The sequence below is a fragment of the Homo sapiens genome, chromosome 6 (genome assembly GCF_000001405.40).
Source record: "Homo sapiens chromosome 6, GRCh38.p14 Primary Assembly".
Lineage (NCBI taxonomy): Eukaryota > Metazoa > Chordata > Mammalia > Primates > Hominidae > Homo > Homo sapiens.
The window spans coordinates 113961177-113979642 of NC_000006.12; the positions used below are offsets into that span (position 1 = coordinate 113961177).

Genomic DNA, 18466 nt, shown 5'->3' on the forward strand with positions numbered 1-18466 from the left:
TTACAATAAAAGCTAGAATAAAAAATGCAATTTATCCACTAAATCTTTCAAAGTCCTCCCTAAATACACCTTTTGTTTGTTTAATGGAAACAACCCCAAAAACTTTTTTGTCCTCTCTCCTACATATTTGATAACAGTACGGGATAAACAATCAGCTTTTACAAAATCCATGCTTCTAATAACATAAATACTTGATTTTGTTGGTATCACACCTCTAATTTTAGTTAACTTCATTTTCAGCACAGCTCTCTTCTGAAAACAATTCATATACAAAGTCTTTTAAAGGGAAAGCCACCTTTTTAATGCAGGTGCCAACAAGGCTAAGAAACAATATAGAGTTTAGCAAAGCAGGGCCATGGCCCTTTGCAACATTCCTCTGCAATTATAATTAAGAGGCTATGATTGCAGAAAATAAACTACCTATTAAGAAAGAATCTACCATAAAGCTCTACCTTACATGGTGACAATACAAGGGATATATAGTTCCTTGAAAGCAGCCTGGTCTCATCATTTCTTAGATATGGAAAACCCACTAGTGTTATTACAAAGCATCATGTAATTAAATTAATACAAGGGAAGGCATTTCTTAGTTATCACTACTAAAGAAATCATTAAAGTAAAAATAATGAAAGTCTAGTCTTCACTAGAAATGCAGATTCTATGAGGTTTCGTGGGATGACCCTGCCCATAATAATTTCCAATATCACCTAAAACAGAAAAGACACAAACTAAACAATAACTTCCATCTATCTGCCTCTGTGTAACAATTACCCAAATGAAATGTCTCTAACATCTACCACATCATAACATCAAATACTCTAGTTATTTGATGCACACTGAAAATCCAGTGAAAAGCCCCAGGCCCCAATAATTGGAGACTACAGTAGCAATTTCTGAGCAAGTGTGTTTGAAAAAAAAAAAAAGCAGTAATTAACACTTGTTGAGTGCTTACTAGAAGGCACTATTAAGTACTTCACATATCTTTTAATCTTGTCAATAACCTTATGATGTGGGTATTATTACATTATTCCTATTGTATAATAGTAAAGAAGGATGAGAAACAGACAAGTCAGGTATTATTGCCTAAGTCACATAGCCAGCAAGTGGAGGAGCTAGATTCAAACTCTGGCAGGGCAGCTCACAGCTAATGTTCTTAAGTAATAACAACAGGGAATGTCAAGGACACTTACAGATTCACTAGAAATGGCAGGGTGAAGGCTGAAAAAAAGACATAATATGAAATATAAATATTTTAAATAAAGGCTTAGGGTCTTGGTTAATTTAAAGAAAATGAACACAAGAAACTGTACCTAATATATCAGAGTAATTTACTTTTTACTAATAGGGTCCTCAAATCGTATACGAATACGCATAGCTTTCAACAAGTTTCTCTGTTGAAATTTAGGGACCCCAGTCCCACAAAGAATACACAAAGAACCTAAATGATACATGTATACAGGGCAGCCAAGCTACAGATAATTTTTTGGTTTACCAAGAATTCTTCTAGCTGGGCGTGGAGGCTCACACCCGTAATCCCAGTACTTCGGGAGGCCGAGGCGGGCAGATCACGAAGTCAAGAGATCGAGACCTTCCTGACAAACATTGTGAAACCCCGTCTCTACTAAAAATACAAAAAAAAAAGCCAGGTGTGGTGGCATGCGCCTGTAGTCCCAGCTGCTCAGGAGGCTGAGGCAGGAGAATCACTTGAACCCAGGAGGCGGAGGTTGCAGTGAGCCGAGATCGTGCCACTGCACTCCAGCCTGGGTGACAGAGCGAGACTCTGTATCAAAAAAAAAAAAAAAAAAGAATTCTTCTAAAATATAAAGGCGTTATAAAATAACCATCTCCAACTTTTTCCCACTAATTCTGTATCTCACAATTCTCTAGATGGCTACTTTGTAGGCATCCACTTTGTTTTCTTTTTGAGATGGAGTTTCGCTCTTGTCACCCAGGCTGGAGTGCGGTGATGTGATCTTGGCTCACTGCAACCTCCACCTCTGGGGTTCAAGCAATTCTCCTGCCTCAGCCTCCCAAGTAGCTGGGATTACAAGCGCCCACCACCATACCCGGCTAATTTTTGTATTTTTAGTAGTGACGGGGTATCTCCATATTTGCCAGGCTTGTCTCAAACTCCTGACCTCAGATGATCTGCCCGCCTCAGCCTCCCAAAGTGCTGGGATTACAGATGTGAGCCACTGTGCCCAGCCCACTTTTTCATAAAGTATAAAAAGGCTAAGAAGTTTTAAGACCCTACAATTTTTATTCATCATTTAAATGGTCAGTAATGTATTAATAATTTGGGCATTTTAAATGTTACTGATTTGCATCAAAATACAGATTATCCCTAATCCAAAAATTTGATATCCAAAATGTTCCAAAATCTGAACTGTTTTGAGCACCAACTTAATAGTCAAGGAAATGCTAACTGGAGCATGTCAAATTTTTGATTTTCGAATTAGGGATGCTAACTGGTAAATAATTACAAATATTGCAAAACCTCCCCAAATCTGAAATACTTCTGGTCCCAAGAATTCAGATAAAGGATATTCAACCTGTACATAAAAATACTTTACCAATGAAATAAACATTCAGAAAAATCAGCTCAAGGTGGTTCCTTGAACACAACAAACTTTAATTGTCAATGCAAAGAAATTACTGTAAAGAATTATTTATCTGCAAAATTTTACAAATTGCTCACTCTTCAAGAAACTAACAGAATGGAAGTGTCTACTAAGGTCCACAATCTCTTATCCATATTCCTTCAAATTAGATATGTTTCAAATTTTACACTTTTTCAGATTTTGTAGAGATAATATGGTACACCTGCCATATATTATGTAATAGCCTAGAGTTTGGGTGGCATGATATAATCAAACATTAATATTTCTACAGCAAAAAAGTGTGAATATTCACGGTATTCACAGAGGAATAAAGATCATAAATAGCCTCACATTGATTCAGGTTAAGATTTTGATTCCAAATGAGTTACCAAAATTTTTTTCAATTTTCAGGTCATTTTGGATTTCAGAACTGTGAAATGTACCTTTAGCCACAAAGATAAGTTGACTGCAAAAAGAGACTCAGGAAAAAAAAAACAAGAGAAAAGAAAAAAGTTTATTATTTTCATCTTCCAGACTACTTAGCCCACTATCCATTTTTTATACATATTAACACATCTTTAATACATATTTCAAGGAGGTTATTCCTCCTTGAGACATTCGGAGCCTTGGCTTCCATAATACCATTTTCTTGGGATTTTACTTGTACCCCAAGGCCACTCCTCCACCAACCTTTAAACATCAAGGGTTTTCAGTTCAGCCATTCATTTAATAAATCAAGAGCCTACCATGTGCCAAGCAGGTACTGTTCTAAGGGTTTGGGTTCATCAGTGAACAATAGTTCTGCCCTAAATTCTCTTCTCTCGGGAGTTAAGTCCTGGGACCAGTCGTCTGTCTATGCTGTATCTTTTTCAGTCTCAATACTTCACCTGATATAAGCTGAGAAATCCCAAATTTCTATGTCTAGACTCTCCTCTCTGGATTATAAACTCACAGAGGTTAACTCTCTTCTCAGTCTTTTCACTTGAATTCAATAAGGATCTCAAATATAAGATGTTCAAAACAGAGCTCTTTATTTGTATTCCCAATCTTAGTGAGTAGTACCACATACCACCTAACTGCTCAATCCAGAAACTTAGGAGTCATCCTTCATTCTCTAACACCATTCCTCAGCTCCAACTCCATTTCTAATCCATCAAAAAGTTCTATTGGTTTGAGGCCCAAATCTCTCTTAAATATGTCTATTTCTATCTAAAATGCAACCATTACATTTTATATGGACCAATATGTGTTCAATTCTTGCTTCCAGCCTATATTCCACAACTCCTTACCAATTATTTTGAGAGAATGCATTCTATTTGAGAAACTTTCAATGGCTTTCCACCTCTGGGTAAAGTCAAATTTCTTACTACACAGTTTTGTGCAGTCCCACTTTTTACTGCCTAACATGGGACTCCACATTTTCCTTGTCTTCCTTCCCATTAAGTGCACCAAGTTCTATTAATAACTATCTGGCTTTGCTATTTGTAATATCTTATGTAGTAAACTCTTTTTAAGGCTGGCCCATTCTCTTCCTTCAGGTCTTCCCTTTTCTGATTACACTATCAAAGGTCCCCTCTCTTTTACTTTTTTTGTTTTTTTTTTTGAGACAGAGTCTTGCTCTTGCCACCCACCCAGGCTGGAGTGCAATGGCATGATCTCGGCTCACTGCAACCTCTCTGCCTCCCGGGTTCAAGCGATTCTCCTGCCTCAGCCTCCCAAGTAGCTGGGATTACAGGCACCCGTCACCATGCCCAGCTAACTTTTTTTTGTATTTTTAGTAGAGAGAGGGTTTCGCCATGTTGGCCAGGCTGGTCTCAAACTCCTGACCTTGTGATCTGCCCGCCTCGGCTTCCCAAAGTGCTGGGATTATAGGCGTGAGCCACTGCACCCGGCCCCCTCTCTTACTTTATACCTGCAGTCTTTTATTTCCTTCTTAGGACTTGAGCAATCTTTTGTCTATTTGGCACACAGTAGGAACTTTAAGCCTATTTGATATGTCTGAACCCAAAGCTGGCTTAATGAACAAGTAACAATAAGCAGACTGCTACTGAAATACAGAGGAATAAGGCTTAATAACCAGTACAAAAAAATCCTTAGACTTGATTTGAATTCTTCCAAGTTTGAATTTATTAACATTCCCTAAGAGATGCCTTCTCCAATCCCAAGTGTTTTCCTTTAAGGACTTGTCAACAGAAGCATTTAAAGTTTTTGTTAAGGAGTTTTGTTTGTTTGGTAGCAGAGGAAACACTTTGAAAAGGAAAAAAGAAAAATAAAGATTCCGGATGTTGAACTCTCCTTGAACATTAAAACTACAGTCAGTGTGGAAAAGGAAAAGTGGTAGACTGCACCAAACAAATGTGAATCTGTTTTCATCTAAACAATACCAAAAATGCCAAAATGCCACCCATCCTACCTAAATGTAGTTCAGAGTAGTTTCAAGAATTAGAGGGAACGTTATATGAAAGCGTTCTATCTATAAGAATAAGGAATTGGCCAGGCACAGTGGCTCACGCCTGTAATCCCAGCACTTAGGGAGGCTGAGGTGGGTGGATCACCCCAGGTCAGGAGTTCGAGACCAGCCTGGCCAACATGGTAAAACCCCCATCTCTACTAAAAAATACAAAAATTAGCCAGGGGTGGTGGCACGTGCCTGTAATCTCAACTACTTGGGAGGCTGAGGCAAGAGAATCACTTGAACCCGGGAGGGTAGTGGAGGTTGCAGTGAGCTGGGATCACGCCACTGCACTCCAGCCTGGGCAATAAGAGCAAAATTCCATCTCAAAAAAAAAAAAAAAGTATAAGGAATTAATAATTTATTCATCACTAATTAAAAAAAAAAGCTACGTTTTTAAATGTAGTTGGCGAAGATACAAACACAAGCAAAACAGACAGACTGTCCTAATGAAGCTTATGTTATAGTGAGGAGAGAGACAAAAGTTATATGGTACAACCAAAAGGAAGAAAAATAAGGCAATAACAGGGACTTAGGTAATAGGAGAAAGCATCTCTGATGAGGTAAAATTTGAAAGAAAAGAGAGGCAAAAGATTTCTGGGGAAAGAGAAGTATAGGAAAATTTCAGTCTTATTTAGTCATGTTTTATTGTGCAATTAGTATTACTGGTATTTATGAACTGCTGCTATAATTAATTTAGCACTTATTTGCCTCCAAAGAAATTATTACCTATTTCACGGATAATAAAGATTTATACCACAGCTAAGAACCCATGTAGTTGTATTAAAGGTTATTCAGCAAAAGACTTTGGTACTACTCATAAATACAAGTCTAAGAAAATCTGACAATCGTTGGCTGCCAAGTAGAATTTCTATAATTTGCTGAAGAAGGAGTACGTTGGGAGGTATCATCTTGGTAACTTTTTTTTTTGAGACGGAGTTTCGCTCTTGTTGCCCATGGCACTATCTTGGCTCACTGCAACCTGCACCTCCTGGGTTCAAGCCATTCTCCTGCCTCAGCCTCCCGAGTAACTGGGACTACTGGTGCCTGCCACCACGCCTGGCTAATTTTTGTATTTTTAGTAGAGACGGGGTTTCGCCATGTTGGCCAGGCTCTTCTCAAACTCCCGACCTCAGGTGATTTGCCTGCCTCAGTCTCCCAAAGTGCTGAGATTATAGGCATGAGCCACCACACCTGGCCTAATCTTGATAACTTTTGTATTTATATAGTTTTATCTGTATACAGTCTTTGAGTGTTTTTTTCTGGACCACTTGTCTCCAAAACTGATTATGCATCCCTCTCAGAGGAGGAAAAAATAGAGCACAGAGAAATTTGTGTATAGTTACATAAATTAGGTATATAAACCCTATTATACTGTATACACCATAAAAACAAGCACTAAATATGTTTGGCCTCAAGATTAATTCAAAACAAAGCATAAACATGTCTAGATACAGTATTAAAAATGTGAGTGGTATAACTAGAGCCTAACACAGCTTAGCTGCTAATTATATTTAAGTAGAGAAAAATCACATCGTTTTAAGGCCCAGAAGGGATCTTAGTGACTATCTAATTAGCTGTATCATTTTACAGATTCTTGATGATCTTCTAGTGTATAAAGAAGGAACATGATTCAGAAGTATGTTTTTGGGAATTTGGAGGCATGGATCAATAGCTACAGTCAGAGAAGTAATAACTTCTCTTACTTTTCTTCAAAGGTTTAAGGATACCTAATCCATCAATGTCTGAAGGTTCCCTTGGGACCAACGTTTCAGTGACCTAAAGGGTTACCTGAAGATTACATAACGTGCAGAGAACAATATGTATATATTTAAAAGTTCTTTCATTAAGATGCAAACAGCCTCAGTGGCAGACATTCTGTGTGGCCAAGAGGCTCCGTGTGCCTAACAGCCCCAGGAAGCCTAAAGGTAGGATTCCTATGGTTATAGAATTTGCTACTTCCGTCCTTTTCTTTTTCACTCACTTTCTTCCTTCTACTTCCTTTACCAAGAAGTTAAAACCATCTAACCTAGGCTAGCAGATAATTCAGACCCTATTACTACAGATATAACCCATTCCCAATCCAATCCATGTTATATACCTTAAAGTCACGATTCTTTGATACAGAAGCTCCTTTCCTTGCATTCTCTTCTCACAATAAAAAAAGAATTAGTATTGCTACTTTTGTAAGCTGACAAAACAATGTTCTCTGGTAATAAAAATATAAGTTTTTGGATGAGGTCAGCACACTATCACATATTAATAATTAGCATAATATAAACATTAATAATCTCTGCAAAATATTTTAATTCCCTCCCACAAAAATTAAAAGAGTATGTGAAACATAAGCAACTAGGAACTCCACTTTAACAAACGAGTCACAGACAAAAGACAAAATAACCCACCAGAGATTTCCAAACTATCAGCTATTCACTTGTTGCTGGCCATCACGTAAGCAGGTGAATGGGCTACAATAAAGTATCATATTAAGTCACAATCACAAGACAAATATTTCCACCCTACTTATCAAGCTTGCATCCTTTCCCGGGTACCCGTGCCTGCTCCCATTCCCACAACGAAGGTTATCATAAATGGGCCCAGGACAAGAGCGCTGTTCAGAAACTGCTACTCAAGTGTACCCTCCTGGTTCTAGGGTTCCATTGTGGTGACAACAAATTACAAGCAGCTTACTTCCTCAGAGCCCATCACTACCAACACCAACTGACAGCTTCGAGAAGGACCTCAGTACCACTTTCCCTAACCAAAATTTTCCTCTTTACTCCAAGCCCTGACAAGGATAAATCTCTAAACTTTAGAAACAATGTAATTTTACAAATTAACTTATACGCAGGGTTACTTCCTTTCCAATTTGATCAGGGAATGCAGGGCAAGAATAACCCAAAATATGCAATGTAAATCATGTTGAAATTAAAATGTATTTCCATCTCCACCCCTCCACGATGGCATAATTTCAAATCAACTTATATAATGCATATCTAGTCCTCTGAAAAATCATTTTTAAAAGTAGGGCTGTTATTATTCTGTCCTAGCTATCGCAGATCAATTTAGATTTGTTCTGTAAGATTTCAGATTTTCCCCAAATGACACAGGTGGTTATTTTATATGTATCAGTCATTAAAAGATTAATCCTTTTTAACTAAAAAGAGACAGTACGGTCATTTACAAGTTAAAGTAGATTTATTCTGAGCTGGTGCTCTGGGGTCTTACTTCTCTAAAATTTTGTGATTTACAATACACCACATGTAGGAAACAGCTTCCAAAATTTGTATTGCTTCCTACAAATCAGACAGGACTTTCAGGAGAAGGAGCCTAGGATAGATTCTCTGTTAAATTTTGGAATCCCTTCTCTCAAGAGTAACCTACTATAAACTATTTACCAAGCCTTTGTGAAATCTGTATAACAGGTTACTACTCCATTGAGCAAGAAAACACAGGAAACAGGATTCGAAGATTTAATGTTACTGCTCATACTCCAAATTATAGAATGCTTAAGATAATTAAATTATCTGACTTTTATAATTCACTACACGGTGACCTCAAATTTACCTCATTAGAATATTTAGTACTTCTGCACTTCTCCCACTTCTCAAAGTTTTCCCATACCAGGATTCCCCACCACCTAGGAACAGCCTTTGCAAGATACCAATGCTCTCTAAATCCCCAAAGCAGGGTCTATTTCCTGATCGAACAAAGAGCAACAAAGAAGTGGGTGGTAACCACCTCTCTGAGGCAAGCCAGGACCCATGGAGTCTGATCTACAACACAAGCAGTAGCAGTTCCACATCTCCCTACCACCTCTTATTTCCTACGAAGTCTTTCTGCCTGAAACTGGAAAACCCGAACTATTATTGAGGAAGTGAAGCCCTTCCATTTGAATCCTGAGAAAGACGCGCTCAAAGAACCCAGCGAACAAAGGAGAGGGTTGGAGCCCACGCAAAACATGGGTGTGATAAAGCCACACGCGACCTGAGCCCCCACCCTCAGTAACTACTCTCCAGCGCCCACCGGGAGGAGGGGTCCGGGGAAAGGGTAAGCCGAGGAAGGAGAAGACGCTCCGGCCAGACCGAACGCAGGGTAGGGGAGGCGAGCAGGCGAGGAGGAGGGAAGGGGACGGGAGGGGCGGAGCTCTCGCGGCCGCGGGGCTTTGTGTAGAGTCAAGGCCGGGATAGAAATTTTGCCTCGCGGGGGACGGGTCGAGGGGGTAGGAGGCCGACGCGGGGCACCCCAAACCTGCGTTGCCACGAATGGTGGGCGGGAGAAGGGAGAGAATGGGCCGCCCCCTTCGCCGCCGCCACCACCAAGGCGGGGTAGGCCGGCGCCGTCCCCAGCGGCGGCCACCTTCGAGGCTGCGGACTGCACGGCCGAAGGGGGAGAGGCAGGAGACAAGACGGGCGGGCCCCCTGATTCCCGCCCGCAGGAACCGCGGGGGCTGCGCCAGGAAGAGGGTCTCGTTCTAACTGTGCCGGGCCGGGAACGGGTTAAGATGCGGCCAAATGTCGGTCCCTCCTCCTTCCCACCCCTCAGCCCCGGCGCCCACTCGCGACGGCAGCCGCGGAACCCAGCGCCCGGCCCCGCGCGCCCACCCCGACACCGGCCCGGCCGCTCACCGTCGTAGTAGTAGCAGACTTTTTTTTTGCCGCCTCCTTGACTGTACGCCATGGGCTCCCCGGCCACCGCCGCCACCGGGCTCCTCCTCCTGCTGCTGCTGCTGCTGCTGCTGCCGCCGCGGCTCGGCCGGGAGAGAAAAGGGCTGAGGGAAACGTGGGGGCGATAGTCCCGCGGGGAAGGGCAGGCCGGTGGGAGGAGAGGAGGGGGCGCCGGGAAGGCTCGGTACCACCCGGCAGAGGTGCCGAAAGCTCGGAATCGGAGGTGGCAGCGGCACCAACTCGCGAGGAGGGGGCCACCAAACCACCTCAGGAGGCCGCAGGGAGGTGAGCGCATCCACTGCGGCCTCCACGGGGGAGGAAGGGGCACGGCTGGAGAAGGAGGCCGTTTCGGGCTCGAGGTTAGAGGCCCTGTTAGGGTGAACAACCTGCGCAAGGCGGCGCCATACACAGTGTTAAAATGAGGAAGAAGACAAGCTTTCGCTGCGCAAGTAGATCCAGGGAGCGTGCAGCCGGGTGGACGTTCTCCCCCTCAGGTCTGCGCGCAGTGGTTGCGCCTGTCCCCGAGCCTGCGCAGTCGGCGCCTCGTAGCCTTGGCGGTCTGGACCCCTCCTCGGCGTCCCACGCTGCTCCCCTCCCCCACTGTCGCGAAGCTCCCGCCCAAGCCGACCACGTGCCGCGAGCCCGGCGGGGAGAGCCCACTCCCGCGCCCCTTCCGGGCCCACTACCCCGCCGGGCTGTGGCCCATCGCCCCAGTGCCTGGTAGCCTAGTTTTCTCGTTTGTCGTTTGTTCACTTATTTATTATTATTATTATTATTTTGACTCGTAATGGGTATGAGGTGTAAGGGGGCCTATTACGGATGTTAAGGGGAGAGGGCACCGCTCGGGTTTTAATAAGCATCTGTGGAGCTCATTTATAAGGTACAGTTCTAAGCACTTGCATTTATAATATATTCCATTGATAATCTATTTATAATATTTAATCTCATTTAAGACTCTCAACAACTCTAGGAGGTAAGTGGCAATTGTACTCCTTCTTTATAGGTGGAGGCAGATTAAGGAACTTGTTCTTACTGCTAACTGATAAGTCTGGAGGTTTGAACTCATTCTGCAAACTCCACGCACCCTAGCTGTTCCACTCTGCAGCAATGCTGCTGGCTAGACACTGGAAGATTGGAGCAGAAAGACTTTCGAAACTCTTGGAGGTTATGAATACAAGTGTTCCTCTGTTAAATAAATCCACATTTATCAAGTACCTACCTTAAGCCAGCCACCTTGCAGGTGAGGGCTGGAGGCTAACAGCCTGTTTTATAGCACCCAATCCCAGTTATATAAAATTGCTATCCCTACCCCCCAAATACACCCCTATTAAAAAAAAAAAAAGGCTGTATTGATGCTGGAATTTAAGAGCCACTACCAAAAATACCCCTTTTAATTTGCTGTTTGACTTCAAAATCCCGAAAGTGTTCATGCTTAAAGCAGCAATTTTCCCCAACCTCACCCCCAAGAGATTTAGAAAAAGTTAAGTCCAGGGTGGCCCCTGCCCTCCCTCCGCCCCCTCCTCTGTATTTTTAACAAGACCCCAGGTGACTGATGAAGTTGCTAGAGAAATTACGGTGAGTGAAACACTGGCCTAGAGGTAAAGTTAATTGACCTTCTAAGTTGTGCTCTATCAAGTACAAAATCAACTTGGAAGATTCTGAGAACAGAATAAGTGAATTTAGTAGAAGTGAATGTTCTTCCCCAGGGCCAACACAATGAAGTCTGAAATGACACTTTGTTTCTTTTGGGAAGACTTCCCTGACCCCTCTCCCGCCAAGACTGTTCTCCATGCCATGTACGTTGTATGCTGTAGCTCAACACTTAACCATGTTGCAGTTGCCCACAACTCGTCTGAATGTCCCACTATGAATGGAGTGTCATAAATGAAGGGACCAGGTTTATCTTGCATGTAATAGTTTCTCTAGTGCCTGTGACTTAGGGCAAGTCACTTAAACGTTTTTTGAATTGCCTTATCTGTAAAATGGGGCAGTATTACTTGGAGAGTAATATTCAGAATCTCAAATAAGAAAATTAATATGGAATACTTTTAAAAAATGAAGAATTATGTGAATAAGGGATTATTAGGATTACTATAATAACAGTGACAATTACTAAATTACTGTTTGCACCCACAGCACCTAACATTGAACTTGTGAGAAGAGCCTGGACATATCTTTTGACTAGCTGAGAAACGTATTTATTATTTAATAATTTTAAACCAATAGAAGCAAGTTACATTACCTTTAGAAACTGGTGTGGGAGGAGTTTTATCCCATGATAGGAGTTGGCCAAGAGAATTCTGTCTATAATCTCTACTATGTTAGCAGAGCTAAAAGTGGCATCAGTTATTGAAACCCATTGACAAGCTCCAGATTTCATTGACCACATTCTAACTCTGCTGTATCAAACCCTTTTAAATATGGAGTTTTAGACAGTGCAGTAAAAGGAAACCAGCTGAAAGCATGGATAATTCATAGGATGCGTGCATAGTTAAGGACTGTCTTTTTCCTTAAATTGTTCTTCTTTAGTTTCTGCTCCATCTATAGGTGCTTATTTTTTCAATCTCGAAGATATTTAGTGCTTTGAAATTGTTCAGTAAAATGATCTCTTAAACAGAAATGATTATTTAAGAATAGGACTGCTAAGAAACTGATGGCCTCAGCTTATGCTAAAAATTAAACCCTGCTGACAACTGCAGCAGATAGTTTAATTTCTATAAGAGAATTATTCATATAAGCTTATTTCTACTGTAAGGAAATTTAGGTTTCTTAGTGCTAATTTTGTGTAGTAATTCCATACGGCGATACAGAAGGTAGAGAAGTACAGTGGCACACTACAGTGTTGTCGTAAACTCACACAGCCTCAAGCTGAATTCTGATCTTGTAAGCATGGTGCCTATCTTTACACAGTACTACAAGCTATAACTTATAAACCTGAATAGCAACATCTAACAATGAGAGATTATAGTACTTTTGAACTGTGCATTTGTGTAACAAAATTTCAAATTACCCATTTACATTAAAAATATATTTTTGAACTATAGCTTATCTACTCAATTACTGTTACACTAAACCTTTCAAATCATTCCTGTTACATTATTAACTGATTAATGCTTTGCTGATGACCTTCAAAACACAGTATCACTTTGATCTAATCCACCTACTTGCTCAAATTTTCTAATTTTTATACTCACACTGCATCTGAGAAAATTAACTTGTTAGTGTCTCCTGATCACCTTACATGTATATCTTAATTCTTCCTCTTTCCTATCTTAGTGTTTTGGGTTTTTTTTTTTTTTTAAGACAGAGTTTCGACCTTGTTGCCCAGGCTGGAGTGCAATGGTGCGATCTCGGCTCACTGCAACCTCCCCCTCCCGGGTTCAAGCGATTCTCCTGCCTCCGCAGGAGGCCTCCGGAGTAGCTAGGCCTCTGGAGTAGTAGGCTGAGGCCTCCGGAGTAGCTAGGATTACAGGCGCCCGCCACCACGCCAGGCTAATTTTTGTATTTTTAGTAGAGATGGGGTTTCACCATGTTGACCAGACTAGTCTCTAACTCCTGACGTGGTGATCGCCTGCCTTGGCCTCCCAAAGTGCTGGAATTACAGGCGTGAGCCACTGCACCCGGCCTCCTATCCTAGTGTTTTTAACCTTCCTTAAAATCTAGTCACCATTCTTCTCCACCTACCACCAGAACTGTACAGATGGAGGTGGCGTATGCATGTTGTGACCATGGGGTGGAAAGCCACATGACAAGAATAGTGGAGCAGACGGATAGGGACCCGGGTCCCTGATGACCTTGTATGTAGCCGTTCCAGACCTGGACTGTGCACTTCTGGACTCTGGTGACATGCAGGGAAAAAAAAATGAAACAAACAAAAAAACACGTTTAGGTAAACCACTGTAGTTGTGATTTTGTTATATGTAGCTGAATATAATCCTAACTCATGCAAAATCTGAATTAGAAGTTAGTGGTTTCTCATAATTTCTCCCAACTACAGGCTTCCCTTGGGAGACAATTTTCTGGGTTTCTGAATATCTTGAGAACAGAGGTGCTGGCTTTGTCTGAAACTATCTTTTCAGTGATGTTTTTGTAGTGAACAGCGTTCCAAGATAGAGAAAATGACTCCTTCTGGAGCAAAGAACAAGCATGATTACTACCCATTATAAAAAAATCAGGTTCTCTAAGTACTATACTGTACTTTACTGTACTATACTATACTACACTACACTACACTACACTACACTACACTACACTACACTACACTATGCTGCAGTCCATTGCCAGTACAAGTATTATGTGGCATCTTCATGTTGGCATATGGGAATTGGGGTTCAGAACAGCAGCACAAAAATTAATACTGTTGCTCTGGTCACTGCTATTGCCATGAGTAATAAATTATCCCTTAACACAGGAGTCTTGAGTCTAATACTAGCATGATGAAACTGTGGCTGACTAGCTTGTTAGCTTGCAAATAGGGTAAAATTTCAGATTGTTTACGGAACCCAGAATAGACTACATAGCCCTCAGATGACTGTGGGGAGCCCTCTGAAATAAGGCCACCCTTAGTTATTTGGTGGAACTTTCCAGAGGGCAGACTCATTTGTGTGCACTTTGTGGTTGGTTGTCCCAACGATGGGAGTCAGATAATTAGAAAAGGTGGTAAGAAATTTGTCCCTGAGGCTGGGCGCAGTGGCTCACGCCTGTAATCCCAGCACTTTGGGAGGCCAAGGCGGATGGATCATGAGGTCAGGAGATCGAGACCATCCTGGTCAACATGTTGAAACCTCGTCTCTCCTAAAATACAAAAAATCAGCCAGGCGTGGTGATGCAGGCCTGTAGTTGCGGCTACTCAGGAGGCTGAGGCAGGGGAATTGCTTGAACCTGGGAGGTGGAGGTTGCAGTGAGCCGTGATCACAGCACTGCACTCCAGCCTGGCGACAGAGCGAGACTCCATCTCAAAAAAAAAAAAAAAAGAAAAGAAAAGAAAAGAAAAAAGAAAAGAAATTTGTCCCTGAGTTCAGCTGAAGTGATTAATGATACCACCTGGGCCTTAGAAGGTAGTCAGCTCCAACTCAACTCACTGACCAGAATTGTTATAGATGATAGAATTGCAACAGATGTCAGATTCTAAATCGTCCCTAAAACATCCAGCTATACCTGGATTAATGCCGCAAACCAAGTAGAAAGGTCAAATGAGAGCCTTAAGGAGAAAGCCACTGACTTTCCAAGGTAGACCCTGTTGGTTTGTGGTATTCAGAACTCTGGGTGTCATGATTAAGGTCAATACTTTGTCCTGCTGCTTGTATTGTTGATAGTCCCTTAATTAAGTGCTATACAAGACAAATGGAATTAAGCCTCTATACATCAGATTAATCACAGTGGTCAATGGAGTCACATATTCATGTGAAATTTTGAGTTCTGCCAAGAACGTTTAAGGGTGGATGGTTAGAAGAGGAAGATCTGTCTTGGTCCTGAGTGTCCCTGCATAATTTTGCTAAGTATGCCAGATTGCAAGTCTTATCTGTCTCCTGAGACTGAGCATTTTTGCAGCTAGACACATAGACAATTAAGTGGGTCAGGGTAACTGTACAATGACTCTCGTGTAACTGCTCACCATCAGGGTAAGGGAGATTGGCTTGTTTGCTGCTTGTTCAAGAAATTTGGACCCTTGGATCTGGGTTTCTCTTTTGCAGTGCAACCCACTAAGTGTGCAGGTGGCATTTGGGTCCATTACATATTCCCTGTGGGAGTTGGGGGCAAGAGGAACTGACAAATATGCTGATGCTCATGCTGCTTTCTGTGCTATAAGCAATAAAGTACTTTGTCTCCTAACTAGGATTTTTGTGACTTCTGCCAGCATCCATGAAACCAGCAGATTAATTTATTAGCTTACAAGAAGGGTAAAAGTTTAAATGCTTTACAGTTCATGACAAAAGGTAGTCATCCCTCCCTCAGTAAACATGAAGGCTTGGTTCTAGAACCTGCTGCATATATCAAAATCCATGCATACTCAAGTCCCACTGTTGATCCTGTGGAACCCGAGTGTAAAAAAAGCTGGCCCTCCATATACATGGGTTTTACATCCGGGGAATGCTGCATTTGGTTGAAATGGAATCCCACATGGTTCAAACCTGTTTTGTTCAAGGGTCAACTGTAATGCCAAAGCATTGTAAGCAATGAGAATTTTTTTATACTATAAACCCACAGAATCTAGGAGTCATCCTAATTTGGATGAATGAAATATTCAAATTAGGATGACTCCTAGATTCTTTCTGATCATAGGTGGAAAACAGAAAATTCCTAGGAAATTTTACATATGTTTTGGATAGTTTAATTGGAAAACTCCATCAGATTGATAGTGGTCCTGTTTCTCTGGAGAACCCTGACTAATGCAACCATAGTAAAAGGATCAGTACTATGTCACTTAAGAATAAGCTGAGGGCTGCATAACTGCAATCTGGTACACTGCAGCTCTCCCATCTTAAAAAGTTTCTTTCAACTATTACACTATAGAAACTAAAGAAGGAAATAACTGAAAAGGTCACTTAATTTTTGTATTTTGCTGAGTTTTCCTTTACAATATATTTCCAAGTACTTCAAAAGTACTTATAGCAGGCAATAAAGATTTTTGCTCTTCCCAATAGAAAATTATTCAGTATGTTTATAATAAACCAGAATTTAGCTTAACTCATTTTACTCTATTAAACAAAAATTTTCCATTTAATTGTTTCCTTTATTACTACTCACGGCTTTCCATTACAATATACTTGCAAATGCACATTGGCTAGGTAGAGGGTTGAAGCAAGGTTAATTGGATAATTTTACTTTTATTTCTTCATTTTATTATCTTAAAATTTTAGGATAATAGGTATTCCCTAAAATTGTAGATTCCCCATAAGTTAATTTGTAAATTAAAATTTGGTATATTAAAATTATATTTTAAATCATTTAGAGACTACCCTTGATGGAATTTTATGACTTTAGAAGTATTTTCCCTAAGTTCTTTTTCGGTGCCCAGCAAAATTCTGATGAGTTTTTCTTTCTTTCCTCCCTCCTTACATGCCTTTTCTTTTTTTTTTTTTTCCAAGAACTATCTATACTTTCAAGATTATTTTGTTAACAACATAGATGAGATCCTAGGATGGTTTCTGTAGTAAGAATTTTGTGAATTTTATGAATTTTAATCGCTAAAAATTTTACTGGGAAAAAAAATGTTGAGCCCTACATGTAATAAAATTACTCTGTTTTTTGAATGTTTAATGACAACTTTATACTTTTCTGATTAATGTTCATAGTCAAAATGTTATACAAAAGAACTGTGCTATTAATAATGATTGTAACATAAATGATGTAGGGAAGTCTCTCTTGGCAGACTGATCACTTCCCTTTTATACTGTTTCTACCTTATCATTTCTGAAACAGGAGTTTTCATGCTTCATTGTATATAAAAATCCCCTGGGAATTGATTGAAAATGCCAGTTCCTTGGCCTACCTTCTATTATTTCTGAATTGGAAGTTCTGGACTGAGACGCGGGGAGTCTGCATTTTAACAAGCTTCTCAAAGTGATTCTGATATAGATGAGCCAAGATCCACTTACTGACTAATGCATAGTATCTAAACTTGACTAATGCTTGGTATCCAAACATTTTCTGCACGTCAGTGTAGCACACTTAGATTTTTACCTAAAGTTTTCTTATAAATTGAATCATTTAGCTCATGTTAACTGGGTAAGTTAGTGGGGCCTGACTTCTGCCTTTTGCCACTAGGCACCATGATAGTTTGGAATGGATTAGTATTTGTTTATTTTTATTTTTTATTTATTTATTTATTATTTTTTGAGATGGAGTTTTGCTCTGTCACCCAGGTTGGAGTGCAGTGGCATGGTCTCAGCTCACTGCAACATCTGCCTCCTGGGTTCAAACAATTCTCTTGCCTCAGCCTCTGGGTAGCTGGGACTACAGGCATGCACCACCACACCCAGCTAATTTTTGTATTTTTAGTAGAGACAGGGTTTTACCATGTTGCCCAGGCTGGTCCCAAGCTCCTGACCTCAGGTGATCTGCCCGCCTCGGCCTCCCAGAGTGCTGGGATTACAGGCGTGAGCCAACGCACTTGGCCAGGAATGGATTAGTATTTGTAACTAGGGTTGAATGCATAAAACTTTGAGTTGTATAGAATTTGATTTTTGTTTTATATGTCATTTAATAGAAAATAAGAAAATACAGACAAAAAGGAAAAAAATTTATCATGCATCTCTCTTCCCAGCCCTTAATATCATTTTGTCGCACATGCTTCCTTACTTTTGAAATACACATAAATTGGCCGGGCACAGTGTCTCATGCCCGTAATCCCAGCACTTTGAGAGGCTAAGGCGGGCGGATCACATGAGGTCAGGAGTTCGAGACCAGCCTCATCAACATAGTGAAACCCCATCTGTACTAAAAATAAAAAAATTAGCCGGGCATGGTGGCACCTGCCTGTAATCCCAGTTACTTGGGAGACTGAGGCAGGAGAATCACTTGAACCCGGAAAACGGAGGTTGCAGTGAGCCGAGATCACACCATTGCACTCCAGCCTGGGTAACAAGAGTGAAACTCCATCTCAAAACAAACAAACAAACAAAAAAGAAATACACGTAAGTCTATGTAAGCAGGTGAGGATATATGTTGTAAAACAAAAATTGGGATTTACTGTTTAAATGCTGTCTTATAAACACATAATGTATTAAATTTGCCTTTCCCCTCTC

The 18466-nt window shown here is 41.0% G+C and overlaps 1 protein-coding gene and 1 long non-coding RNA gene across 5 annotated transcripts in view, besides 6 other annotated features; one reads left to right on the plus strand and one right to left on the minus strand.

Annotated features, from left to right (window-relative positions):
• The window catches only part of HDAC2 (histone deacetylase 2), a 38121-nt gene extending 28149 nt beyond the window's left edge, over positions 1-9972 (minus strand). Inside the window, exons 1-2 of one of the 4 annotated variants that reach the window (NR_033441.2) lie at positions 9681-9972; positions 1191-1218 (exon numbers count right to left, since the gene is read on the minus strand). Coding sequence is in view for 1 of the 4 variants with exons in the window: in NM_001527.4 (NP_001518.3) it covers positions 9681-9732 (52 nt within the window). In the remaining 3 variants the exon portion in view is untranslated. Of the gene's footprint in view, positions 1-1190; positions 1219-7457; positions 7484-9303; positions 9554-9680 lie in introns of those variants that run through there. The other 3 variants (NR_073443.2, NM_001527.4, XM_047418692.1) reach the window with 3 other exon arrangements.
• The window catches only part of HDAC2-AS2 (HDAC2 and HS3ST5 antisense RNA 2), a 371029-nt gene continuing 361087 nt past the window's right edge, over positions 8525-18466 (plus strand). Inside the window, exon 1 of the long non-coding RNA NR_125845.1 lies at positions 8525-9102. This is a non-coding gene — a long non-coding RNA (HDAC2 and HS3ST5 antisense RNA 2). The remainder of the gene's footprint in view (positions 9103-18466) is intronic.
• Positions 9113-9432: a silencer, noted in NCBI's record as "silent region_17488". NCBI's record gives its function as "represses an Ori minimal core promoter by ATAC-STARR-seq in GM12878 lymphoblastoid cells {active_cell/tissue: GM12878}" and the evidence as "EXISTENCE:reporter gene assay evidence [ECO:0000049][PMID:35858748]".
• Positions 9489-10467: an enhancer, noted in NCBI's record as "NANOG-H3K27ac-H3K4me1 hESC enhancer chr6:114291829-114292807 (GRCh37/hg19 assembly coordinates)". NCBI's record gives its function as "activates a minimal SCP1, AML or CMV promoter by ChIP-STARR-seq in naive H9 embryonic stem cells {active_cell/tissue: H9 hESC(naive)}" and the evidence as "EXISTENCE:reporter gene assay evidence [ECO:0000049][PMID:30033119]".
• Positions 9489-10482: a biological region, named in NCBI's record as "NANOG-H3K27ac-H3K4me1 hESC enhancer GRCh37_chr6:114291829-114292807".
• Positions 9643-9942: a silencer, noted in NCBI's record as "silent region_17489". NCBI's record gives its function as "represses an Ori minimal core promoter by ATAC-STARR-seq in GM12878 lymphoblastoid cells {active_cell/tissue: GM12878}" and the evidence as "EXISTENCE:reporter gene assay evidence [ECO:0000049][PMID:35858748]".
• Positions 9884-10327: a silencer, noted in NCBI's record as "fragment chr6:114292224-114292667 (GRCh37/hg19 assembly coordinates)". NCBI's record gives its function as "represses an EF-1alpha promoter that drives an FKBP-Casp9 reporter gene in an ReSE screen in phorbol 12-myristate 13-acetate-treated (for megakaryocytic differentiation) K562 erythroleukemia cells {active_cell/tissue: K562(+PMA)}" and the evidence as "EXISTENCE:reporter gene assay evidence [ECO:0000049][PMID:32094911]".
• Positions 10303-10482: a silencer, noted in NCBI's record as "silent region_17490". NCBI's record gives its function as "represses an Ori minimal core promoter by ATAC-STARR-seq in GM12878 lymphoblastoid cells {active_cell/tissue: GM12878}" and the evidence as "EXISTENCE:reporter gene assay evidence [ECO:0000049][PMID:35858748]".